The sequence below is a fragment of the Homo sapiens genome, chromosome 1 (assembly GCF_000001405.40).
Source record: "Homo sapiens chromosome 1, GRCh38.p14 Primary Assembly".
Taxonomy (NCBI): domain Eukaryota; kingdom Metazoa; phylum Chordata; class Mammalia; order Primates; family Hominidae; genus Homo; species Homo sapiens.
Window position 1 is genome coordinate 181,580,328 of NC_000001.11, and position 27,224 is coordinate 181,607,551.

The 27,224-nt window shown below is 44.6% G+C and overlaps 1 protein-coding gene across 14 annotated transcripts in view; it reads left to right on the top strand.

Moving 5' to 3' along the window:
- Positions 1-27,224, top strand: part of CACNA1E (calcium voltage-gated channel subunit alpha1 E) — a 490,386-nt gene that overhangs the window by 262,629 nt on the left and 200,533 nt on the right. For all 14 annotated transcript variants that reach the window (XM_017002244.2, XM_017002243.2, XM_017002249.2 and 11 more), the window contains one exon: positions 268-449. In XM_017002244.2, coding sequence (XP_016857733.1) covers positions 268-449 — 182 coding nt within the window. The remainder of the gene's footprint in view (positions 1-267; positions 450-27,224) is intronic.

Here is a 27,224-nt window from a genome sequence, read left to right on the forward strand (position 1 = left end):
AGGGTAGAGGATGAAGCTTGCAGAGAGCAGGGGACTATGTGGAGGAGAGGCTCCATTTTTCAGGAGACTGGGAAACATTGGATTGAACACATGATATGTGAGCTGGGAGGTGCAGAGAGGCCAGGGAGGAGAGGGAGCCTGAGACAAAAAAGGGCAGGCCTCTTTCCGTGGGGGAATGGAATTGCTTGCCTATGGCTTCCTGGGGTCATTTCCAGCTCATGCGAAACACCATGTGATTTATCTCCTACCCTCCAAATGTGTCTGCAGGTATTCTAGAAGGATTTGACCCCCCTCACCCATGTGGTGTGCAGGGCTGCCCAGCTGGTTATGAATGCAAGGACTGGATCGGCCCCAATGATGGGATCACCCAGTTTGATAACATCCTTTTTGCTGTGCTGACTGTCTTCCAGTGCATCACCATGGAAGGGTGGACCACTGTGCTGTACAATGTGAGTAGAGCTGGTGGGGACCTGGAAGGAGGAGGGAAGAACCCTGGATGGAGGCTTCTGTGGTTGTTTGGCCTGGCTAGTCCGGGGACAGGGAGGGCTATGGATATAGGTGTATTGGGATGGGAGGTGAAGACTCAACTGGGATAAGCCTTAGCAGTTCATAACCCTCTTTTGTCTGGCCTGTTGCTACGTACAAGTACACAGCTTCTTAATACGATTAGGAAATTACATCCTATGTTGGATAGGTGAACAAATTAGTTAAGTCAGATCAACTTAATAGTTACAGAATATGTTGGTTGGACGTGGCGGTAGGGTATAGTGAAGGGTACTAATGTATGATACTGGCTGCCCAGTAGAATTAGCTGGAAGCCTTAAAAAATTTTATCACCCCCTCAGGATCTGGGAGAATTTACTAAAAAAGAACAAAAAGAAAAGAAAAAAAAATTATACCAACTGAGCTCCATCCCACACCAATTAAGTAGGAATATTTAGGGGTGAAGGTCATTTTAGAAAAGTCATTGACTTTTCTAAAAAGCTTCCTATCTGATTCTCATATGTAGCCACTGTCAAGAACTACTGCATTACACACACATAAAAAGCATGCTTAATTGTGAGATTCACCAGGGGTGCTTGTTGAAAATTCAGATTCACAGACCCCTTCTCTGGAGATTCTAATTTTGTGTAGCTTTGTATAGCTAGTGAGCTGTGCTTTTTTCAAGTGCCCTGGTGATTCACATGATCAGACATGTTGAGAAGGTTCTGAGTTGGTCTAGCTGCCTGTCAGGGATGTTGGGGATTCCTGCATGGGGACAGAAGGTAGGGTGATCATGAAGTCTCTTCCATCTTCCAGAGTCTAATTTTAATAAGTTATCAAAGGCTTGGTGCAGACTCTATGCTCAAAAATGAGAGTGACTTGAGGTATGTGGTTTGATGTACATGGATCCTAGGTGGGTAAAGCAGTTTGGGCAGGTGCTTTTGAAGGACTGTACCCTTACCTGCATTCAGCCAGCCCACCCCAAAACAGTAACTTTGGAATGATCATGCCTCTTATGCACGCTCCCACCGTCTGCCTTTACCTTAAGGTGCCGTCTGTTTCCTTCAGTTCTTCTCTAGATCTTTTTAGCCTGATTCTATCTGTATAAAACTTATTAGGTGGAACATAAGGTGGCTTATACAAAGCACCCTTTAGAAAGAGCTTTGGATATAATTTACACTGGAGGGAAAGGAAATGCTGTGTCTCAGAAGAAACTCGACGAGACTATAATGCCCAAAGAGCAAGGATTGTGTAAGGCCTGTAAAAGGAAGTACTTAGTAGAGGTCCATTGCTAACCTGGATCCATTCCCACATAGGATGAGCAAGGCAGGACTGAAGCTTTGCAGAAAAGAGTCACTGGCTATTATGCTAAAGCTCTAAAGGGCAGTGAAGAAGTCCCAAGGACCAGCTTACACCCAGCAAGCCCAGGGATGAAGTGTGACCCAGAAAGCCCTGGAGGACACTCTGCAGTTCTCACCAGCTGTGGGAGGCAGCAGGAAGGAGGGGAGGGAGGCAAGGTTGATGAGTGCAGTCACTCCTCATTTGAGATGTAAAGGTTGTCTTGAGGCCATGCCACTCAAATTAGCCAGGCACCTCTAGGAATTGCAGCACTGGCCCTGCAGTGGCTGGTGTCACATGGAGGGCTTTGAGAGTGATGCATTTCAATTATATGTGTAGACTCACCTAAGTGATGTGATAAATGCATTGAAAGCCTGAAAGGAGAAGTGTTGCATTTGAGGATACAGGCGTGATTGTTGGTCCTCTTTAGCCAAGATTCAGATGGTACTGAGAGGAGAAGGAGCACAGCTGAAGAACCACTCATTTTTTCTTTATTAGTTTCTTTGTTCATTCCTTCATTCTTTCTGTGTTTATTAACTGAGCATCTATTACATGCCAAGCACTGTCCTAGGCACTAGGGAAATAGGGAGAAAAAAGTGCCATGATTCCTGCTATCATAGTGCTCTCTTCAAATCCCTCTCTCCCCAGTTACCTGTCAACCACAGGTTTAGAAGTTACACACAGGCAGAGATTTTGCTCCTCTCTCTAGTTTTGCTCACTAAGGAGGGAAGGAGGGAGGGGAGGAGATCAAGTTGCAGATACTTTGAAACCTTTTATTGCATGGGTGTCCAGGGCCCACAGACTCACATACTCTGACTTCCAGCCTGTCAGTCATTGAACTTGAGTTTACTGAAGGCCTCCTGCTATTCTGATGGCTGGATTTAGGGCTAGGGGGACTGTTACCCAAAGACTGTCTACCTGTTTGGACTGTCTGCTACCTGTTTGGACTGTTCCTACACACACACACACACACACACACACACACACACACACACACTTATACACACTGGTTGCGTACCATGAAGTTAACTATGAATGACTAGTCAGCTTAGTATTATAAATACATGTATACATATATATGTGTGTGTTTCTGCATATAGAAAAATGACTCACTAAGCATCACCACAACCACCACCAATAAGATACAAATATAAATATAACTGTATTGATTTTCCTTTCTACCACTCCTCATTCTGGGAAGGCCCAGTTCACCCAGCTGCTGGATTTGTTCATGAAGAGCACTAAGAGAGGGGGATCCCCTATTTCCCAGCCCTATGCACCTTCTATTCAGTGGTGCAACGAACATGTAAGATTTATTGTTGTTAGTTACATCCAAACCAGTAGGAGAATCTTCAGGTTTACCCAGTAGGAAGAAGCTCTCAAGCATGTGGGCTCAGTTTAACCTTTTTATATGCAATGTAAATGCTTCCCTCATGTTTGCCTCCCTTTTCTGTAGCACAGACTCTTCCTAGATGCCTCCCTATGACCTTGTGTTGCTCTGCCAATGATTACTATTAACTTCATTTGCTTGTGGCTTTTCTCATTATAATGAATTGTAAGGGGGAGGGTTCCCATTGTCAAGGCAACCTGGAGTCACCTGTGCTTCATTTAGTCTCTATCCAAATGTCAACTGCTTGGTCAAACTCCAACTATATTCTTGGCTTCCCTCCCTCCTCTGGTGGAAGGAATGCAAAACTGTCGACAGTTCTGGCTATTGCTACCTGTTTGCACTGTCTGTCCCAAAGGTCTCCTCGACTTGCAAACTCTCTTCTTTACTTATTTCTCGTAACCTGATAAGTATGTCTTCCACAGTACAATGTGTTCTCCTTCTGATCAATGCTCTTCATTCAACAAATGTTACTGTGGCTCGCTAACCCTCTTCACCTGGGCTGGAGGTGGCTGAGAGAAGTGACTTTCTTCTGATTCTGATCTGAGTCTTATTTCTCTTTGTCATTATAGTTTTATGTTATCTGCTGATTCAGTTAGCTCTTTTATTGTATCAGGACTAATTCCCAGATTGCAGAGGTTCCCAGTCCCTGTCTGCAGTTACTCACATCTTTGCTCCTGAAGTCTAGTATGTTTCATTTGTATTTCTGTAGTTGGAGTTATTTCTCTTCTTACTTACTGTTGATAAACTCATGTAGAGGCAGAAATTTCTTGGAGGTGTACTGTTTCTGCAGCTTTGCAGGTATGCTTTCCGCATCTGTTGTGACTACTTAAGATGCTCCAAGCTGCTATGGTGGAAGGGGTTTTATGGACTTCATTGGCTTTTGGCAAGAAGAGGCAACTGAAAGTCTGGATGCTTTCTGAGAGTCTTCCCAACTCCTCAGAAATCTTTTGGTCTATAAACAATGACTGTGGCTGTCTTTTAAGTTGCCTTTTCACAGCTGCATATAGTCAGGATTTATTAAATGGTTAACAGCTATTCACTTTCTGTCTCATTGAGATTTTGCTTTATGTTCCTCTATGAGCATGGTGAGGCATAACATCCATCTCGCAGTTGATGAAAAACTACCATTCTCTTTATGAAGTTCCTCTCATTTTGTGGTATCTACAGAGAATGCTTTGGGTTCTGAGATCCATGAGACTAGGGAATGTGGCTTCCATCTTTGCTTCAGTCTTTTCCTACCACCTCCTCCACATTATAGTAGAACTACTCAAAACTAATTTGACAAATAGGTGGCAGGAGTCTATGATTATCTTATGGTGCTAGAGTGATAAGATGAACCAACTGACCTAGGATCAGGTGTATAGTTCCTAAAATTTGTAGACACTGTAATTGTGACTGGTATTGTAGATACTGTAAGTGTTACTGTAATTGTAATTGGTATCCAGGATCACTCATGCTCTGGAATAAACTGGTCCCCCCCCCTGCCTCAAACAACCCCATCTGGACTGCCCTGTTCTTATGTCCTTGCATGAGTCTGGGATCCTGTAATATAGGTGATGCTTGGAATTGGATACTAGTATCTGTTCATCTGTTACTTATCCATAGAGGGATTGGTAAGTGGATCTTGGAAGTTACTTTCTTTTTCCCATGACGGCTGGGAGGTGAGGTGTATGTGCTTAGTGAGGAGCTATGATAACTTCTTTTTAATTGGCAGAACACCTTGCTTGTCAGGCTTTTCATGGAGAGGAGAGAGTAGAGGGAGAGGGAAACTATTTCCTGAACTCATAGTAAAGGCTTTTCCCCTCTGTTTACATTCATACATAAGTATAGATTCATTCACTAACTCATTCATTCACCAAATAATTTTTAAGTGGCTACTATGTGCCAAATACTGTTCTAGATGTTGGTGATACAGTAGAGAGTAAAACATAGGAAAGTCCCGGCCCTCATGGAACTTATATTCTAGTGGGAAAATGCATATAGAACATAAGGAAAACATATGGTATATCAGATAGTGATAGATGCTGTGGAGAAAAAAAATGTGGGGAAAAAGAGAACTTGGTTGCAATTTTAAATGGAGATGTCAGGAGGACCACATTGAGAAGATGGCATTCGAACAAAGACTTGAAGTGGGTGGGTGAGGGAGTGGGCCATGTGGTTATCTGGGGGAAGAGTCTCCTGAGTCCCAGATAGCTGGGCCAGCAAGTGCAGAGATCCTGAGATGGGGACGGGCTGGGTGTATTTGAAGAACAGCAAAGAGCACAGTGGGTTGAACTGCAGTGAGTGAGGCGGAAAGTAGGAGATGGAATAGTCAGTCAGATCATGTGGAGCCCTGAAGGCCATTATACAGACTCTGGTTTTTACTCTGAGTGAGATGGGAAAGCAATGGAGGGTTTTGAGGAAAGGAGTGACATGACCTGACTTGTGTTTGAAAAAGGATCACTCCACCTCCTTTGGTAGAGCAAAAGTAGAAACAGGGATTCAAATCAAGGTTATAGCAAGGATATAAAAAAAATGATAGAGGCTTGGGCCAGGGAGGTAGCAGCGGAGGAGGTGAAAAGTGGTTGGATTCTGCATATATTTTTAAGTAGAGCTCATGGGATTCTTCGATGGATTGAATATGAGTTTGGGAGAAAGCAGCAAGAAGAGTGGAGTTGCCATTAACTAAGCTGGGGAAGAACACAGGTAAAGTATGTTGGGAGGAAGAGGAGAATTGAGTTTGGATGTGTTAAATTTGCCATGCTCATTTGATACAGTAGTATAGGGAAGGGGGTGAATAAATGAGTTCATGGTAGAAGGCTTGGCTGGAGAAATAAATTTGGGAGTTTTCAGTGTATAGATGGTAAAGTATTGAGACTGGCCAAAACCACCAAGGAAGTGAATATAGACAGGGAAGAGAGGAGATTCCAGGACTGAGTTCTGATGTTAAGGTGAAGAGGAAAACGGTTATCAGCAAAGAAGACTGAGAAGGAGCAGTAGGGAGGTGAGAGGAAAATTAGAAACCTGGTGTCCTGGGGCCAAGTGAAGAGCGCGCTGCAGAGGGATAAAGTAGAGGATGATCAAGTCAGTTCTCTGAAGAAGTGTTTTTCCTATCATATGATTATTCAGTTAAAAAAGGTTATTACTAGAGTATCTTGCAAATAATTTCTTGGTCATTTGTATAAATTCATCCACAGATTCTCTTGAATTCACATTCATATTTACTCTTTCAAAAACTCTTATCTATATGCTTTGCTCATTTGAATCAAATGCTTCAGATGGGTCAAGGAAGGTGAGGGCTAAGAACCACTGAATGCCAGGAGCAGTTTGAGTGGAGTAGGAAGGATTTCAGAGAGCAATGGAAACAGCGTGGAAGAAATACCACTTACATGCTGATGGGAATGATCCATTTGAGATAAAAATTATTGTTGATGAAGGAGAGGGAGGAGAATTGGTGGAGTGATTTCCTTGAACAGGTGTGTGTGTGTGGTGTGGGGAGGTCTAGACCACAGATGTAGGGATTGGCTTAGATAGGAGCTCTAATCATCCATTCATAGTACTAGGAGTAGAGGAAGAACAAGTGGCTGCAAAGGCTGGTACGTGGGTAGATGTGGTGTTGGAATCTTGTAGAAATTCTCTTCCTATTGCTTCTATTTTCTCAATGAAAGAGGAAGTAAGGTCATCAGCAGAGGGTGGAAGGAGGAAAATGTTGAAAGTTTGAGAAGGTATAACATAGTTTTCCAGAAGACTGAGGGAGTAAGTGGAGTAGGAAATGCATTGGGTTGCTGGGCAGCTTTATGGACTCACTTGGAGTTAGTTGTGATGAAGTTCAAGTGAGACCAGTGAGCCTGGTGTGTTTTCCTCTGGTCACATTCAGCCACTGAATATGGGAAGTAGGTGGAGATTTGGCTTTTATGAGAATAGTTTTGCCAGTTGAGCACAATAAAATGAGAGAAGATCAAGAGAGTGACTATAACATAGCCATGGAATTTGAGCTGGATAAAGAGCAAAGAGGTGGCGGAGAAACCGTGAAAAGGGAGGAGAGAACGTGGATTATAGACCGTTTTTAAAATGTGACTCTTAGGGCCGGGCGCGGTGGCTCACTCCTGTAATCCCAGCACTTTGGGAGGCCGAGGCGGGCGGATCACTAGGTCAGGAGATCGAGACCATCCTGGCTAACACGGTGAAACCCCGTCTCTACTAAAAATATAAAAAAATAGCCGGGCGCAGTGGCGGGCGCCTGTAGTCCCAGCTACTCAGGAGGCTGAGGCAGGAGAATGGTGTGAACCCGGGAGGTGGAGCTTGCAGTGAGCCGAGATAGCGCCACTGCAGTCCGGCCTGGGTGAAAGAGCGAGACTCCGTCTCAAGAAAAAAAGAAAGAAAGAAAGAAAGAAATGTACTCTTGAATCTGCTGGACAAATTCAGTCTGTGGAGTAAGTTGAGAAACCTGTCTCACTGCATAGAAGTAGGGAGTGGGTTTTGAAACCAAATGTTCTGATTTCTAATTTGATGCTCGCACTGCCCCCAGTGGAAGGAGAGTGAGTGTGTGCATGTGCCGCACATGTGCAGAGTAAGCTGTGACTCTGGGCGCCGGCGCACCGCTGGGCCCTCTGTGGCACCACTCCCAGGGTGTCTGGTCCTGTTTCAGCTCAATTCAGAATGTGAACTTGGGGAACATTTGGGGACTGAAACCCACCAGGCCCGCCCACCTACCTCACTAGCATTGTACTCTGTCATCTTGGTTTCCTCCTCAGAGTGTCTGTCTCTTTTTTTAAACACACTTAACGTTGCAGCTTATGATGCTGACTTTGGCAGCCTGTTCTGTTAATACTTGTCCTCTCTAAACCCTACAGTGCCTTCTTCTTGGCCCCTGTCTGCTGGGCTGGGAGCCTGTGGTCCACAGCCTTCTCCCCACCGCTCCCTCCCTGGGAAGAAACCGGCGTTTTCTTTCTTTCTCACACTTAACTATTTTCCCATCCATAGCAGTCTCCACCCTGAAGTTATTCCTACTCATTGCATTTCTGTCTTGGTTTGTCAAACCAGGATGCCATCATGTTTGGGATTTATTCCAAATGTGCTAAGTGTGCCTCCTGATCTGGTGCCTGAATTTCACACCACGAACCAGGCCAGTCTCCTAGTCTTTTGTCTGTGCATAGCCATTAGGCTGGCTCAGGGCTCCTTTCCTTTTTGTTTCATTTACTCTAATATGCGGTTTAATTTCTAATCCATGGCCAAAGGCCTCAGGTGCCTGATGTGTCATGCAGCTTTGGGCTATGATCTTCCTGTTCTCAGGCAACACCAGGCCTTAGGACTGAGGGGCAGAAATTAGCTGGAGGTGGTGCGTTGGTGACTCAATGGCTGTTTCAGGTACTTTTCACTCTGGAATCCAAATGCTGACAGAATCTCAGCCAGGTGGGGATGGCACAGTGCCAGTATATGGCACACTAGGAAAGCCAAGAAGTCTTTATTCACTGTTCCTCAATTCATTATTCACTCGAAGACTTATGAGCAATTTTTTTCATGCCCTTCAGAGTGTGGTCCATCTTGGAATCATCCAGGGGTAATTATTGTAATTGCAGATTCCCGGGCCCTGCCCCAGATCTGGTGGGCCAGCATCTCTAGAGGTAGGAGGAAGGAATCTGTATTTTCAGCAAGCTCCCATGTGATTCTGAGGCCACGCTGAAGTTTGAGAACCACTGTTCTACATCAATGTAATTGCCAGGCAGTAAGAGGGTGACATGGCACATAAATGGGAGAGTACTGAAGAAAAAGGCACACTTCTGCCTTCAGGCTGCAAGCCTACTATGTGAATTTCCATGAGGTCATGCGTTATTCAATGTTTGCCTAACATAAAGTGATTGACACACAGTGGGCTCTCAGGAAGTAGTTAATTTATGGACTTAGGTCAAGAAGGGGCAATAAGTCAGGTGCATGGGTACATACATATACTTGTAACAATAGGGCAAACTAAATATAGCGAATAATTGGGAGATATACAAGCAGAGATCTCTGGGAGGATTGAGGAGAGAGTGGATAATTTAAAGTGAACTGCTGAGCCTGGCTTGGTGGCTCACACCTGTAGTCCCAGCTACCTGGAAGGCTGAGGCAGGAGGATCTCTTGAGTCCAGGAGTTCAAGGCTGCAGTGTGCTATGATTGACCTATGAATCATAGGTCAGCCTGGGCAACATAGTGAGACTCCATCTCTAAAAAGAAAATAAAATAAAGTGAGCTTCTGGACAGCCCATGTAGAAATGTGAAAGCTGGTGAACTCAAGGGGAGCCCATGATACTGGATTGTAGCCTGTTGGACAAAGATGTCAGAGCTCTTGATAACACATCAAAGGCATCATTTACCCACTGGGTGCTTAGATGCTACTTTATATTTTTACCTTCCTTTAGGGACAAGGCTCAGAAACTGACTTGAAAGTTAGTTTGCCCAACCCTTTTGGTGGGAGGGAAGGGTTGGATGTACTAACTTTCCCTTAACCATCCTCTCCTTAGCTGGTCCTCATTCCATGCCTGTTGAAAACAATATGCGTAGATTTACAGACCTTTGCCTGCCTCCAGTTCCCTATGTTGCAGTTAGATGTCAGCTGTTTGGCCACAGCGAAGCTTCAGCTGCAGCTTTCCCTGTTGATTGACATGTGTGCCCTCAATTACACCTCAGTTCCCTCCCAAAGAGAGGGAAGGATTGAACAGGATCTTTTCTCCTTTAAGGTGCCAGGTACTAGGGGCCCCATTTACACTTCTGGAGAGCTCTTTTAAAAGGGATTCCTGAGAACCTCCACTCTTCACTGCCTTCCACCTTGAGCCCCATTGTCTGTCCACAAGAGGAAACAGGATTTTGTGCACTGATGAGGCAGCAGAGTAGTGGAGTCAATTACAAAAAAAAAAAAAAAATATATATATATATATATATTGTATTTGACTGATGAGTACAGCTTTGGTTTATCATCTGCACTGGAATATCTTTGATGTTTTGGGAAATCACAACACTCAAATCAGATAAAGAAGCCACAGTGACAGGACCAATGCCAGAGGACCTGGGATATCTTCTGACTTTTGTCCCCTCAGCTTCTCCTAGTGCCCCTTTTCTTGAGAAGCAGTGACCCAAGGCGGGGCCCTTCCTTGCAGTGTGCAGTCTTCCTCACCCCAGGAGCTGGTGGGTGGGTCACAGCACCTGTGATAGTCAGAGAGGACCACTTGAATTTCTGTTCTCCTGAGGGTGCCTTGCAGGTGCTCCCACCCCTCCCTCCCACTCTCCCCACTCACCATCCCCAAGCCATGGCCTTCACTCCGAACCCAGGACTTGTCAGCTGGTATCTGTGGATGGGCTTTGATGGCATCCATAAATTTTGTTGCAAGTTTTGTTTTTAAAATATATCTTTTAACTACCACATTTTCTTGAATCTAAGATGCCATTGATTATATACTCTATCAAAAATTGAATAATTCTGTTATTAAATTTAAGCATTATTAAATGTTGGGGGAAAAGCTACTGCTTTCTATGCATTATGTATTCATATATTCTGAGTTACAAAACCTTCCACTGTAAAGAAAGGTATATTGTAGAATTGAGGAAATAGAAAATGAAGGAATAAAACTGATTTTAAAAGCCACATGTAATCCATGTGTTATACAAATTTTCACACTTGAAGACCACCCACAGTCACACTGGCTTAATTCTTTTCTTTGTGGAGACCTTGGAGTCAATCTCCCTTTGCTATCTCTGCATTTATTTGAGCTTTGTGTAAATGTGGTATTGATTAGAAAGCTTCTAGTTCTGTGTTAGTCTTTTTAAAAGAATCAGGCCCCAGCTTGTTTGCTTTTATAAAGTGATGTAAGTGATCACACTATTACCTTTCTGTATGATTCAAGATTTTCTCAATACTGTGAAACTAAAATAAAATACAAAAATAAGCTGGATGCCAAAGCTGATTCAAGACTGCAATAGTCATCTATAACCCTGGTTTCAAATTTTTATCTTCCAGAAAACAACCTCATGTTTTGAGTGATATTGAATAAATGTTCTTTATTATGAATATATTTATATTAAATATATACAATATATTTATGCCAGAAGATGTCTCATTTTTGTAAGTTTTATGCATGGATGTTCTGATAAAAGTTTTATTTGAAAAAAGTGATTTCTGATGCCAAAGGTACTATAACATAGTGGTTAGGAATCCTGGTCTTACTTTACTATCTATGTGACTTTGGCAACTTACTTAATCTCTGTGCCTTTATTTTTCTATCAGTAATGTGAGGATAATTATGGTACCCACCTCACTGAGTTGTAGTAAGAAGTAAGGTAACATGGATAAAGCCTTTGACACATGTCTGGCACATAGCACTCATGTGAGAAATTATTAGTTAAAAAGTTTTGAAAACCATCTAGGATAGACAAAGCATCTTCTTCCATTGGCCCACTGTATAAACCTGCTCCTCTCAGACTGGTCCTTCCTGTCTCTCAGTCTAGCCACTTTACACTTTCCATTTGCATCATTGCCAACCTTGAGTGTACACTCTTGGAATTACCTCCAAAACTCTGATGTCGCCTTCTCCACAGAGCCTTCTCTGACTATCCCTGAGAAATTCAAAAGAGAGGAGATGCTTCCCTGAGCCTTCTCCCCCAGACCTAAATGTTATTAGCACTCCTTCCCAGATTCTCCTGTATCATTCATCGTCTTCTAGGTGTTTACATCCCTTTTCCTTATTAAATGTTCTGTCTCCTGGCATCAACCCCAGTCCCCTAGACATGGCTAAGTATTCGGTAAATATCCACTGATGGATTGATTTCACAGAGTGGCTGTCGGAACCCACCAAAGATGCCATGGCTTCCAGACTGCCAGGCTGTCGGGAGATGCAGCACAGGTTCTGCTCTCAGAGTGAGCTGCTGTCCGCAGGGACTATGGCTGCTGCAGCCTCTGCTTGTCCTGCCTCACTACAGCTCAGCTCCCTCCTCCAGTGACCGGTGGGGGGTGGGGGGTGGGGAAACAATGAAAAGTAGGGGAAAGGTAATTTATTTCAGTGTTTACAGAGGGTTTGCGTGTAATTAGCAGTTTATTTCTGTGACACAGCTGGCCTCCTCAGCTTGGAACCTGACTTTGAAATGCTCTTAAAGAGACCCATACCTAGGCAATCTGAGGGGTGCTGGGGACTTGGGAAGAGAGTGAAGAAAAATGTCATGCCCTGTCTTTGGTGATGATGCTTGACCAAGGACAGCCACTAAAGTGAAGACTCCCTTGTTCCTTCTTTCCCCAACTCTCCCATGCATGCACACACACACACACAAACACACTTTTGTTTCTTGAGTCATATTCTGTTAGTGAATCCACCTTCGACTTAGACCTTTTACAAGGTACATTTTTTTTAACCTTTTGTTCACATCAAAGCTTGGGCTTTGATATCTTCACTGGGGATAGGGGAACAGTCACTTGATCCCCTCCTGCCATAAGCCCCATGATTGCAGGCAAAACACTGTTCTCCTCTTTGTAAGTATTGAATAGATGAATAAATAAATGTGCATCAGTCTTTTCATCAGTAATATGGGGGTAATGCTGCCTGCTGTTTCTACCTTGAAAGTTTTATAGCAATTACATGAGAAAAAGTATACGAAAGTGCTTTGAAAAAGACGTTCAGCCCTCACTATATGAGTGTACTATTTTTATGACTTTTTGCTGCTGTGAGCTGTGGACTTACAAACTCAATTTTGCTAAGTTAGCAGTTTTTTTGTGCTTATGCAGAGTGGGTGTCTGGTTGCTTCGGGAGCATGTAAGACAAATTATCCTAACATATTTTCTGTCTCTTAGCATCAGTTTGCTGTGTTTGTTCTGTGTTGTGAGCGTGCTCAGGTCCTGTGATCTTGGTTAGAAATACAGTATTTATATTTTGTACATATTGAAAAACATACCTATATTTGGTGCAAAAGTGGCACTTTAATAGTTCTTGCTAACTTGCATAAACTGTGAATAACTGGTGAAACCTATGTTGCAGTTGCTTCCAAATTCAAACATGTTTCAGAACTTTTTTTCTTTTTGAGGTGGAGTCTTGCTCTGTCGCCCAGGCTGGAGTGCAGTGGCATGATCTCGGTTCACTGCAACCTCCTCCGCTCGGGTTCAAGCGATTCTTCTGCCTCAGCCTTCTGAGTAGCTGGGACTACAGGCACCCACCACCACACCCAGCTAATTTTTGTATTTTTAGTAGAGACGGGGTTTCACCATATTGGCCAGGCTGGTTTCGAACTCCTGACCTCGTGATCCCCCCGCCTCAGCCTCCCAAAGTGCTGGGATTACAGGTGTGAGCTACCATGCCTGGCCAAGGACATCTTAACCTTTGCAAGTGTTAGGGTAGACCTGACATTCATCTGTGGCAGTGTTCCTGAATGAGCTGGGGCTGAGCCCATGAGAGAGTCTATACCAGAATAGCATAATGGAAAAATAATGGCAATGTAGTTTTTCATGAAACTAAATTTGTTCAACTTGAAACTGGATTTAAACATTGAAAATGTTAGTGTCCTTTCCTGGCAAAATAAAAAGTTAAGAACATCATTGCGAGCATAGATATTTTTGTCTTTGTTTTGTGAAAATTTTGTGATCTGTGAAGGCTAAAAATCTATGCTGATATATATTTTATCTATGTAATAGATATAATAGGTAAATATATTAATATAATTATATAATTTACTTGCAAATGCATAATATTGCTATTAGCAGGTTGAGTTTTCTTTTCCATTCTAGTGATACTGAGATTTTTATATTAATTTTAAGAGAAACTGGTAGTCATTTATGTAACCTGTCATTGAAGAATGAGTATTTTAGAAAACCACATAGGCTGGTATAGTGAATGCCATTTCTAAGAATAAAGTAGTATCAGGCATTGGGTTATATTCAGAAGACCTGTATTTGGGCCAAGTGTTTCACCTAGGCTGGAGTGCAGTGGCGTGATCTTGGCTTACTGCAACCTCCACCTCCCAGGTTCAAGTGATTCTTGTGCCTTAGCCTCCTGAGTAGCTAGGATCACAGGCCCCTGCTACCATGCCAGACTAATTTTTGTATTTTAATAGAGACGGGGTTTCGCCATGTTGGCCAGACTGGTCTTGAACTCCTGACTGCAAGTGATCCACCTGCCATGGCCTCCCAAAGTGCTGGGATTACAGACATGAGCCACCGCACCTGGCTGCAAGTTTTGTTTCTTATCCATTCTTCCTGACTCTGCCATGGTATTAGGCAAGTCACGTGACCTCAGTGAGACTCATTTTCAACTTCTATTAATTAGGAACACCAATTCAGTACTTAGTGCATACAATGGCTGTAAGAATTAAAGAAAAATGTATGTGTGAGAGTGCTTTGTGCATCAAGATGTGCCTTACGAATTTAAGGTATTATAAAAATCCTTTAAAGTTATGAACATTCATGTTAGGAAGATTTCTATTATTGAGATTTACAATACAGGTTTTTCACGTATCATTTTTAAACATGTTTTGACAGATACAGTCAATGGTATCCCTCAGAAGAAAGGTAGAACGTATATTCAAAATATTGTTAGGATATTTCTCTTTCCTTTGTGCTCAAAGCATCCTGATATCATGACCTTTTCAAGTGTTTTCTTGATATGAAACAAAGCTGCCACTGCCTGAGTAGTTTGTATAAAAACATCAGATTTCTAGGTGAAGCAGAAAAGAAAGGGAGTGTGGAGCTTGATTCCTTCCCCAGGGGTCTCTATGATGCCATCCTTGAATGAATGATCAAGGCGTGTCCCCCACTGCCTCTGAAGGTACTTCTCGTGGCTGCCACCAGCTGCCTTAACAATTTGGAAGGAAAGGCAGGCCCAAAGGGCAGCAGGCACATGCACACCCAGGTGATCACACCTCCCTCGTCCCCTGCACACATTTAAGCTCTTGGCAGCACATGTTCCCCAGGCACAGGCGGGGCTGGCGTAGTCAGCAAGGCTGCCACATCTCTGTCACAAGCTTCCCTTTCTCCTAGTGTTTTCAGCAGGCCTGTATCTCTCCACCATCCTCCCCTTCCCGGGTCTCCCACTCTCCTCTCTCTGTGACAGGTTCTTTTTCCTTGGCAGATTGCACTGGAATGGTGTGACAGTCCCTCAGGGATCATGCCACCTGCCCAAGCTGGGGAGGAATAGCAGAGAGGCATCCGTGGCTGGCCAGGTCACCAAGATAACACTCCCCACAGGCGAGGGTATCCAGGGCTCCTGGGACTGCAGATTCCATTGCCTCATTGAGCCAGGAGCCTTGGTCCACGCTGTAGGACCTCAGTCCACCCAGGAACACTAAACTTGCCTGCCTGCCACTTGGCGCTACTATAGGCAGCTGTACCTATCAGCACACCATGCCTGGGAAGGTGACCACAGAGAGTAATTGCCAGTGTTTAGTCTGTGTGTGCATGTGGGTGACAGAGCGAAAAGGAAGGTATGGACCTCTCTTTTATATCCAGGTTATTTATTGCATTTGTCTTACGACTTCCATTTAGAGCTAAATAAACTGCAAAGTAGGTTATTTAAACTGGATCTTGGGTGCTTTAGCAAGTGGAGAAGTGGGCGGTGAGGAGGGAGAAAGATGGGAGATTGGGCCGGGGAGATTGAGAGAAAGAGGCCAAAAGAAACACAACGTGGCTTATTTTCCTCCCCTTGGTAGTGGAAGGCATGGTGTGCTGTGGCTCACAGACAGAGATCCCCTTTGCTGGGGGATCTTGAAGAGCTTTCTGTCTCAGGCTTTTGGGAAGCAGCCTCCTGTGGACATATCTTGCTTTTACAATTTATAAATAAAAAACTAAGGCACAGCCTAGGAGTGCAGATTGCACAAAGCCTACAGTTACCTACCGCACCTGGAAGGGTAGCTCCCCACTTCTTTGCCTGCTTGTCACGGTCACGTGCCCCCTCCACCTGCGTCGGACTTGTGCAGCCTAATAGAGGGCAGGTGTACAAGGAAGAACGTCGTTGGGGCATTTTATCGTCACCCTGTCCAAATGAGGTTTCAGGGAGTCTCATCTCCAGAGAGTAGTCTTCCACCCACCATGTACGTGTGTGTGTGTGTGTGTGTGTGTGTGTGTGTGTGTGTGTACACACACATATTTAAGCTCAGATGCCCTGCAGGCCCAGGGAGCTCTTTGCCAAGAGACTCTTGGTCCATCCAGATCACTCGTGAATTCTCTTTTGTACAGACTTGATAAAGGGTGTTTCTTGAGTACCAGAAGTACTGTAGTACTGTACATAATTCATAACACGAAGCAAGATAAAGTAGAAAGAACAAGAAAAGATAATAACTGGGGAATTAAAAGTTTCCAACATTGTTAGAAGCTGGGAGAGTGAGTCAGCAGTACATATGTCCTTAGGGAGAGCTTTGCACAGGGCTGGTTTTGGGGTAGGGGCCTAGGTGTCCAAAAAAGGAGGAAGGAGATGCTCAGGAGGAGCAGAAATAGGGATGTGGAGGAGAAGGGGCTGAGGGCAGGGAGAATGGGTGCAGATTGCAAGTGGGGGTGAATTCTAGCTCTGCCCTGCCTCCTCCCCTCCCTTTGAAGGAAAGAGATATCATGGGGCCTTAATCATCTCCTTATCTCTCATTCCTTTCCTGGTTTAATTAAATTTCTGTTCTAATTTGGAAGAGCTTGCATGTTCTCGACTGCTGTGGCAACCAATCTCTTTTATGAGACCCACCCTGGCACTCAGAGGAGTTTATCACCTCCATGGGACTTGGACCCTCTGTAGCTTTTGCCATCATGGTCAGTTCTGTAGTGAGCAGAGGTGGATTTGAGAGGAGAAAGGGGCTCCCTTATTATTGTCAAAGTCATCTTGTTTACAATGGCTTCAGTCTGCCCCTTCCTCTTCTTCACCAGGGAGTGAAGCCTCTTCTATCCATGTATATTTTTTGTGTTTCGCATTGTGTTACCTCTCCTCTCCCAGGACAAAACACACTTCGTTGGGATCTCTTTGAATGTTAAATAATACCGAAAATACAGATGAAAGACAGGAAACGTGGATAAACGTACCATCAGCATTCCTCTTACACCTACTGTGTGCCCAGGCACAGTGCTGGGCACTCTACACGTGTGACTGCCTCGAAGGTGATGGATCGGTCCTCATTTGATAAATGAGGCACTGTATTAGTCCGTTTTCATGCTGCTATAAAGACATACCTGAGACTGGGCAATTTACAAATGGAAGAGGTTTAATTTGACTTACAGTTCCACATGGCTGGGGAGGCCTCACAATCATGGCGGAAGGCATGGAGGAGCAAGTCACATTTTATGCAGATGGCAGCAGGCAAAATAAGAGCTTGTACAGAAAAACTCCCATTTTTTAAGTAATCAGATCTTGTGAGACTCATTCACTGTCACGAGAACAGCCCAGGAAAGACCTGCCCCCATAATTCAATCACCTCCCACCGGCTTCCTCCCACGACACGTGGGAACTGTGGGAGTTACAATTCAAGATGAGATTTGGGTGGGGACACAGCCAAACTATATCAGGCGCTTAAGGCTTACAGAGGTTAAAGGATCCTCCCAAGGTCATACAGCTGTTAAGGTAGAAAGCCCAACTGGAACCTTGTCTTGTGAGCTAGAAAAGCCCAGGCTGTCCCCACTACTCCCTGTTAGAGGAGGACGTGAGAGGAGATGGATGAATGATTTCGGCAATTCACTTCAACTTAACGGACATACCAAACATTGGAGTGCCGACCGATTACCAGGGCCCGTGTTAGGCATTGGATGGTGGAAGAGCTTTTGCTCCTGCCCTCAGGGAGACAAGACATGCTTGTGTTCAGTGGATGCCTTGAGGAAGTGTTATGGTCCCTTTGAGCATTATGGACCCATTGCTGTGGGGTATAAAGGCAGTGGCGGTGTTCTCTCTGAGGTAGCCAAGAAAGGCTTCATAGAGAAACCTTGTAGACATAGAATTTCACCAGGGGGAGAAGGAGATCAGGACCTGGGCAGAAGCGTGGTGGAGGTATGACATTTGTGTGCCGTGTTGAGGAAGTGGCCACAATAAAGGAGTTGGGGTGGAAAATGCCTGGAGATGAGACTGGGGAAGAGATTGGGGGTGAGTGATAAAGGACTGAGTGTCCATTAATGACTACAGAGTTCCTTCTATCAGGGAAATCATCTCATTACTTGAAATTATCAATGACTTATCTGTACATCTTTTTGTCTGACACTGTCCTTGTTCAGTGCCCCCAGGGCTCAAATGTGGGAATTAGTCTAATGAACTAGAGTTCATCCCTTTCATGCCTCCTTTGGTCTTTTACTGTGGCCCACATAGCCCTGATAATCTGTCCCTGGACTGCTCTTCTGTCTTACTTCACGCCCTTGCCTCCTCCATTGACTGTGTTCCCTTCACCATGACTGCTAGCCGTCTAGGCTCTTTCCTGCTTCCTGGCTGTGGCCACACTGTTTCTGCCATTTTTTTTTTTTTAAATTTCTAAATTTTGTTTTAAGTTCAGGGGTATATGTGCAGGATGTGCATGCAGGTTTGTTACATAGGTAAACGTATGCCATGGTGATTTGCTACACAGTTCATCCCATCACCCAGATACCAAGCCCAGCATCCACTAGCTATTCTTCCTGAGCCTCTCCCCCCTCCCCACTCTTGCCCTCCGATAGGCCCCAGTGTGTGTTGTTCCCCCCTCCCATGTGTCCATGTGTTCTCATCATTTAGCTCCCACTTATAAGTGAGAACATGGGGCATTTGGTTTTCCGTTCTTGTGTTAGTTTGCTAAGGATAACAGCCTCCAGCTCCATCCATGTCTCTGCAAAGGACATGATCTCATTCCTTTTTATGGCTGCAGAGTATTCCATGGTGTATATGTACCACATTTGCTTTATCCAGTCTATCATTGACGGGCATTTAGGTTGATTCCATGTCTTTGTATTCTTCATCTGGCCAATGCCTACTGATCCCTCAAGCTTCATCTTAATTGTTACTTCCTTAGAGAGCACTCTCCTAATCCTAATATAAATTGAGTGCTTTTGGTATAATTTTTTAAATCACAATCTTATTTCCTTCATAGCACTTATCACCTCTTGTGTGTGTATTTGTGTGACCATTTATTAAGTTTCTGCTCTGTTAACTACACTGTAAACTCTGTAGGTGCAGGGATGTCTACTATTTCATGACTATTGCCAGAACCTTGCATATCGTGTGGCATGTAGTAGGTGCTTAGTAAAAAATCTGGTGATTTACTGGATGGATGGAGTAATAAATTAGTGAATGATATAGGATCAAGCTATCAGCAGGGAATATTCTTATGCTCAGTGAAAACACAAAGCCTATGTTAAATGAGGCAAATTTGTTGGTATTTCCAATTGCATTTTTTTAATTCAACAAATATTTGTTGAGCACCGATTATAGCTAGGCATTGTGCTAGGAGTCAGGGATATAGTGAAGAACAAGCAAAATCAGTCCACCTGGAATTCGTATTATAGTGTGATGATATCTATTAAACAATTTAAAAAATAAGTGTATACTGTCAGGTAGTGATGAGTCATATGAAGACAAAGCAAAGGAAGGGGCAGAGAGTGTTGCAGGGAGGCAGTATGCTTCAGATGAGGTGGTCTGGGAAGGAGGTGGTATCTGAGCAGAAATCTGCAGAAGTGGGAGGGAAAGCCCTGGGATATCTGTGGAAGAGCATTCCAGATGGAGAGCCAGCAAGTGCAGGGACCCAAAGTGGTTGCTTGGCAGGTTCAGGGAGTGTCCAACAGGCCAGGGAGGCTTGAGCACTCTGAGGGGCAAGAGGTCAGAGAGAGGGTCAGGGCCAGATCAGGTTGGGCCTCGTTGACTGTGATTAGGAGTTTGGATTTTACTCCGAGTGTGATGGGAAGTCTTTGAGGTGCTTTGAACAGATGAGGTAGAAGATCTGATATATGCTGAAAGATCACTCTACCTGCTGTATGGAGAACTGGCCATGGCAGGGCAAGAGTGGAGGCGGGCAGCTGGCAGTGGTGGTGCAGCCTGGAATGGCTCTGCTGGTGGGGCTGAGCAGTGATTAGATTGGGATGTGTTTTGAAGGTGGAGCTGGCAGGACTTGTTAATGGGTTGAATGTGGGGTAGGAGAGATGGGAAGATCAAGGAGGGCTCTTCAGCTACATTAATCTGTTAATAGCGGTGCCATCTACCAAGATAGGGGAGCCGAGAGAAGGGGCAGGATGGTTGAGCAAGGTCAAGAGTTGAGCTGGAGGCATGTTAAATTGGAGTGGCCTAATTGATGTCTATGAGATAGCCCAGTTAGAGATGTCATAAGAAGTAAGTAGCTGGACATCTGAGTCTGGAGCTGGGTCAGAGCAAGAGATATACACTTGAGAAACATTAATTTATTAATGGTGTTTTGAATCATGAGATGGACTGATGTCCCTTAGTCTTGAAGAAGGCATAGACAGAGAAGAGGACCAACGACTTAGCTCTGAGAAACTACAACTTAATGTCTATTAGCACTGCAGTAGGTCTATTACTAAGGCCCTGAGAACTTGATCATCTTCTCTTGGGGCTATTTCTTCTGGAATTGAGCCCAAATTTAGTGTTGTTGCTCCTTTTAGGAAGTTATTATGACAGGGGCTACTTTGCCATAGGGGATGAAAATAGGAATTCCCACTACCACCCCATGGGCTAGCTGAAGGTGCAGGGCAGGTAGAGATTCGGGTGTGGAGGGAGCTCTTCAGTCTGAGTCTGTTCTGTTTTGGTTCATTTTCCTTTTGTCTGCTGTTCTTCTCCTGTGAAAATTGTTTTCCCTCAAGCTGATGTTTTTAAAGCTTAATTTTTATTTCTGTAACTGTACTCCTTTTCATTCTACAAACCTTTATTGAGGGCCTGCCATGTGCTAGACACTGCTCAGAACTGCTAAGTGCTGGGATGCTCCCTTTCCAAACACACGGCTCCTCCCCGTGATTCTTTTCCTGCTCAAAGCCATCTGCTCTCTCCCACCTGGTCCTCATTTTATTGATGGCTATTACATCATCTACCTGTCCATCATTTTTCATACCTCTTATATCATTATTAGATGTTCTAGCTACCAAGTCTTGGAACCAGTCTTCCCATTTTGTCTTACACCCCACATTTAACTCATCAGTAGCTCCTTTGGCTCTATATTCAACATTTATCCAGAATCTGCCTACCAATCCTGACCTCCAGCGCTGCACCCTGGTCTAAGCCACCACCATCTCTTGCCTGAGTTAGTGCAGTCTCTCCCTGATTGCATCATTACCCCACTTCAGAACATCCTTATGATCCTGGCAGTGTAAATCAGACCATGTCCCCGCTCTGCACAGAACCCTCCAGTAGCTCCTCTTCCCTTGCTGAGTAAAAGCCAGAGCCCTTGCAAGGGTCTACAGGGCCCTCCATGATCTGCTCTTCCACTCCCTTCTGCTTCTTGCCTTAATCTGCTCCAGCACAGTAGCCCTCTTGCTGCAGATGACATGTTGGGCATGCTTCTGCCTTGGATGGAACCTTGCTAACATGGGTCTTGCTGGAACATTCTTCCCAGTTATCAGGGTGGGCTCACTCTTTCCCGTCCTCTGGTCTTTACTCGGTGAGTTCTTTCCTGACCATCGTATTTAAAATCAAACCTCCTCCTTCCCAGTACTCTCTTAACTCCCTTTCAGATGTATTTCTCTCCAGAGAGCTTATCACTAGCGACCACAGTATATACTTTGCCTGTTTATTTTGTCTATTGGCTAAGTGATCCCACTAGAGTACAAGCTTCATGAGGGCAGGACTTTTGTCTCACACACTGCTGCAAACAGTTGATGCTCAGGTTAGTACCTGGCAGAAGGTAAGTACAGATTGAGTTACTTTTCATTGGAAATGCTTGGGACAAGAAGTGTTTCAGATTTAGGATTTTTTCAGATTTTGGAATATTTGTATTATATTGGTTGAGCATCCCAAATCCAAAAATGTGAAATCTGAAATGCTCCAATGAGCATTTCTTGGGCCATCATGTTGGTTCTCAAAAAGTTTTGGATTTTGAAAGATTTCAGATTTCAGATTTTTGGATTTGGGATGCTCAACCTGTATTTAATAAATATTTGCTGAATGAATAAATGACAGAACATGAGTTCATGGGATGGGAGGGTGGTCAATGCACTGTATTTGTTCTAGTTACTGTTACTCTCATAGTCTTTGCACTAGGCCCTTTGGTGACAAGTGGGCTGCATTTGTGAGATGGTTGGATGCCATTAGGGACCTAAGCTGTGTTCTCAGAATAGCATTGCCACACTAGAAGCCAGTTGGCCTTAGCAAGTTGAACCATTTGCTGGGATGTCCTTAGTATTATTAGGCAAACTGATCATCCAAGGTTTAGGGTTAGATGAATCCACAAAAGAGCTCATTGAGGTTGTATTAATAAAAACAACCATTCATTGAGTCCACAAGATCCATACTTACGCATGAAAATTACTCTAGGATCTCTTGCTGGGGGATAGGTGGGGGATCGGAATTGCCAAGGGTGTCCTCATGAGGAGGCCTCCATCCAGCCTCAACAAGCCTTAAACACCTCATTCAGGTGCCGTAAGAAGCCTTAAACACCTCTGGGTAGGGTTTGAATCTGTAAATGAATCAGAGGTAAATGAATCTTAAAACCTACTGGCCTTAAGAATTGGAAGGCCCCTTGCTTATATCCTTGGGGATATTTACTGTGGTGAAAGGATGAGGGTAAGGAATGATAGCAAACATTCACAGAGCACATATTATATGCCAGGCGCTGTTCTAAGAGCGCTCTGTGGATATAAACCCAGTTAATTTTCCCAATAGCCCTTTGAGGTAGAAAGATTATATTCCCATTTTACAGTTGAGAAAACCAAGGCTGCCTGTCTGCAGGGTCTTTGCTCTTGTTGATTATGTTACAACCATCTCAAAAGAAGTGTTGTTCTAGGGCCATTTAGGATGATACACTGATGTTTAATACACTTATGTGTTACATTTTGATGTGTGGTATTGTTGTGGGGAGTAGCTAGCTGTGTGTGGAAACGGACTTTTCATGAGGCATGCATGTGTGAACACTGTAATTAGTATTTCCAAGAGAGAAAAGCAACCCCCTCCCCCGCCCCCGCCAACACCCCAACACTGCACCTACCCGGAGACTTTGCTCGTGACACATTTTTTTTTCCCCATAGGAGAGAATGTTAAAGTAGGGCCATCTCTTAGATGAAAGTCCTAGAGGCTTTGGGACATATGAAGACTGGTCAGATGCTATTGAGCATTTCTCACCTTTGATCCTCTGTTCTGAGGAATTCTTGATAGCCTAGGACTAATCTATAGTTCTCAGAGGGGCCAGTTGTCTTGTTGCCTCCTGTTCTCGCCTCCGCCTGCCTGTCTCCCTGGCTCTGAGTCTCTGGTGATATGTACTGGCTCACCGTCAGGTGTTGGGGGATGGGGAGGCGGCTGTGCAGCTGCCGCCGAGCTGCTCACTTGGTAGGAGAAGTGTGCCACTAAGTGAAAATGAGGCTTGGCGACTGCCCTGTGACCCACTGCCCTCTGTACCTTGCCCTTCCCTGTGGGTGGCAGAGCTAGACAGCCATTCTCATCCTGGAAACGCTGGTTTTAAGGGAGAGGCCAGTCTTCTTGTGTTTGCTGCACCCATCCTGACTTGGAAGGAAGGTCTTTGTTGACTCCATGAATGGCACCCAGGGGTCCAGTCTTCAAGTTCCATTGCTTTCTCTGGCCTGTGGCTCATGACTAATTCCACCCCAACCTTGTCTCAGACTGGGGTCCCACTCACCACCAGGGCGTGAGCTTTTGGGGAACCCTCCCTGCTTGTCAGCCCTTCTTTTGGAGGAGTAACCAGGACCCCCAGACCCCACTTTTAGATATCCGGGTTCAATATAACACATAGAACTTTCCCCTCTTCTTCTGGGCAAGCTTGAGATGGTGTTTTTCATGAAAAGGGCCAGCTGAGGGATCGTTTCAGAGAAGCCCAGGTTGGCTACACTTTCCTTAGGATGAGACTGGGACATGGAAAGTGGGAGGAGAAGGAGCAGTTGGGTTTGGCCCTTGCAGGCAGTATTTTCCTCTGGACTAGGAGATCCTCTGCACAGTGCCAGGCCTCACACTGCATGTAATTAGGCTTCTAATGCCATTTTCTATTGACAAGGGCAAGCTGCTGCCAAGTCACTTGAGATGAAATTGGGTCACCTGTCACAATTCCTGTGGGACTGAGGTAGAACTGTGCTTACTACACACTTTGCCCTATTTTAACCTCTGACTGGATCTGATCCCATATCTTAGCTGGAGGAGGAGATGAGGGAGGAGCGGGGGCCTCTCAGAGCCACTCTGATCCTCATAGGGTGGGAACTTGGCCCGGGGATGCCTTGCTTAACCTAGCGGGGAGTTTCTTAACAGAGGTCAGAGTGAATCTTTTATCCCTTTCTAAGTCCAATTTGTAGGACATGGGGAAGACAGTGACCCCAAATTCCCAGTGTGGGAGACATGAGAGAGGCCTCATTTGTCACTCTGAGTCAGGAGGAGGAACGGGCAGTTATTTGTCTTCTCTCAGAAAGCCACGCTGTCTAGTTGATAGCTCTTCTCTGAGAATGGAAATAAGGAGAGCTGTCCAGAGATTGAGTGAGGGAGGAGAGGGAGAGAAAAGAAAGTGCTTTTGAGTGTGTGCATGCATGCTCATACATTCACGTGCTTAACTTAGGAGGCAATTTCGGAGGAAACAGAGAGAAAGAAATTAGAACAAGCAGGAAGAGTTCCAAGATGGGGGAGAAAGGGGCATAACATGGACAAAAGCCTGCCTAAAGAAGCAGTGAATGGACCACATGCAATTGGGGAGACAGAAGCAGAAGAAAAAGGGGAGGGTGGGGTGGGGGAGAAAGCAGGTGGGGGCTGGGAAGTTCTGCCTATGTGCATTGTCTTCCAGGTGCTTTTGTAAGCCTGAGCCATGCCCAAGGCAGCACTGGCAGCTCAAGCTCAGGCCAAACACACACGAGAAGAGTATCGTATTGTGTTTCCTTTTCTTCGTGTTTTTGAAACAGGAATAAAAACTACCAAAAGAGAAACACAGGAAAAAAAAATAGAAAGGGAAAAAAATCTATTCAAGGAGGCATGAAGATTTAATCAACACCCAGTGTTCTTAGCAGGTCGGGAGCAAGCACAAATCGTATTGTCTATGCAGCTATTTCTGACACCCCCCAGCAGCCCTCAGAGCAACCTCTGCCACTGCCCAGAGTCTGGGAGGCAGTTCCTGGGTTCCAGTGTCCTGGGCTATTTTGGGTGGGAAGAATTGCTGAGCCAGTCAAGGGAATGGGGTACAGGGTGTGTCATCTTCTTGAGGAGCTTCTCAGCATATAGAGATTTCCGGCTTTACATGGTAGGTATTTGTCCAGATGGAGATTTTGGCATTGACATTTATCCTAATGTGCTGGATATAAACTTGGGGGTAATTCGGGAATTTAAAACTCAGCCATGTTACCTTCAGTACAGTATATGGATCAATCTCTTCTGCTTTATCTCTCAGTGGCATTCAACACGGTTGCTTTCTCTCTCTTTAAAATTCATGACTTTGGTGCCATTACACCGTCCTGTTTCCATCCGTCTTTCTGGTTGCTTCTTCTCCTTTGGGGCTCTCATTTATTCTCACTCCCTCTCCTTCTAGGAGATCTTTTTGAAGTCTCTTGACTATACACCAATGAGTTGAATTTCTATTTCCAGCCCAGAACTCTCTTCTGAGCTCCAGACTCATATCTAATCAGCTACTGTTAGCACCGTTCTAAATACCTGAGACTACCAAGCCTTCAACTGAGGGCTTGATCCCTCTGTTGTTCTCTTTCCCACCTGCCTGTCCTAGTAAAACAGCTCTACCACCTACGGAGTTGCCCAAGCCAAAAACCTCACATTGTCCTTCTTTTTCCCTACTCCTTCACCCTCTTGTTTTCTGTCTGCCATCAAACAGCAGGTCGTATGGATGCTACCTCCAAAATATATCCCCGGCTGCGCCCAGTCCTCCCTCCCCATTACATCTACCCTGACCTGGCCACCATCTTCTTTGCCCCTGATGACTGCAGCAGCCTCTTGACTGTCTTTCCAGCTTTCTTCCTTATTTCTCTTCAATCCATTCTCTACTCCATGGCCAGAAGGATTTTTAAACAATGCAAATGTCCTATGTCACTTCCCTTTTTATAAAACCCTTTACTGGATTCATTTGAAATACAGACCCAAAGCTAACATGATCCATAAGACGAGTGGCCTCTGCCAGCCTTTCCAGCCTTGCCCTTGTTTTACCCATGCTGGCTTGTGTCAGAATCAGCCCCCAACCCGACTCCATCAACCTCAGAACCTTTGGACATGCTGTCCTGCATGCATGAGGGTTTCTTCCTTCGGCGGCCCCTCCCATTTGGGCTAATTCCTACTTATTGTTTCCATCTCAGTGTAAAGGACATATCCTCTGGAAAATCCACTCTGATCATTGACCCTAAACAAAGTCAGTCCCTCTCAGAAATCACACTCATGACCCTTTCAATTTTTCTTTGGAATACTTACCACCATTGTAACACTCCAGTTGTTTTTGGAATGTTTAATACCATTCTACCTACTAAACCTAAGCTCCATGAGAGCAGGGCCATGTCTGTCCTGTTCACTGTGGTGTCTCCAGGATATGGCACCCTGGATGGTCCATCGTAGAGGTTGAATAAATGAGTGAATCTATCTCGAACACTTTTGTGCCTAGGGCTTTGATTCAAGCACAAGGTGAGAGTGGAGCAGGGTGGGATGTTCTAAAAGACAGAATAAAGAATTCTTGTCCTTAAGGCCCCTCCTACCTAGTCCTGTTCTGTTTTGTGTTATGATTATCAGCTATGTGTATATAAACTTTCACCAAATAAAGATTGTTGCTTTTTGAGGATTACGTCTTAAATTTTGTTGTCACACTCACTAGGTTTCATTTCCTTGGATGTTTTATAGACATGTATGTACCTTTCAGTCCCTGTCTAGGTGGATGCACCTTCCTCCCCTTCCCACTGGTCTGTATCCTTGCGATCCCAGCGTGTGCGGTAGCCTGAACTGCTTGAGTTATGACAGCCTAAGAGCTGGGCGT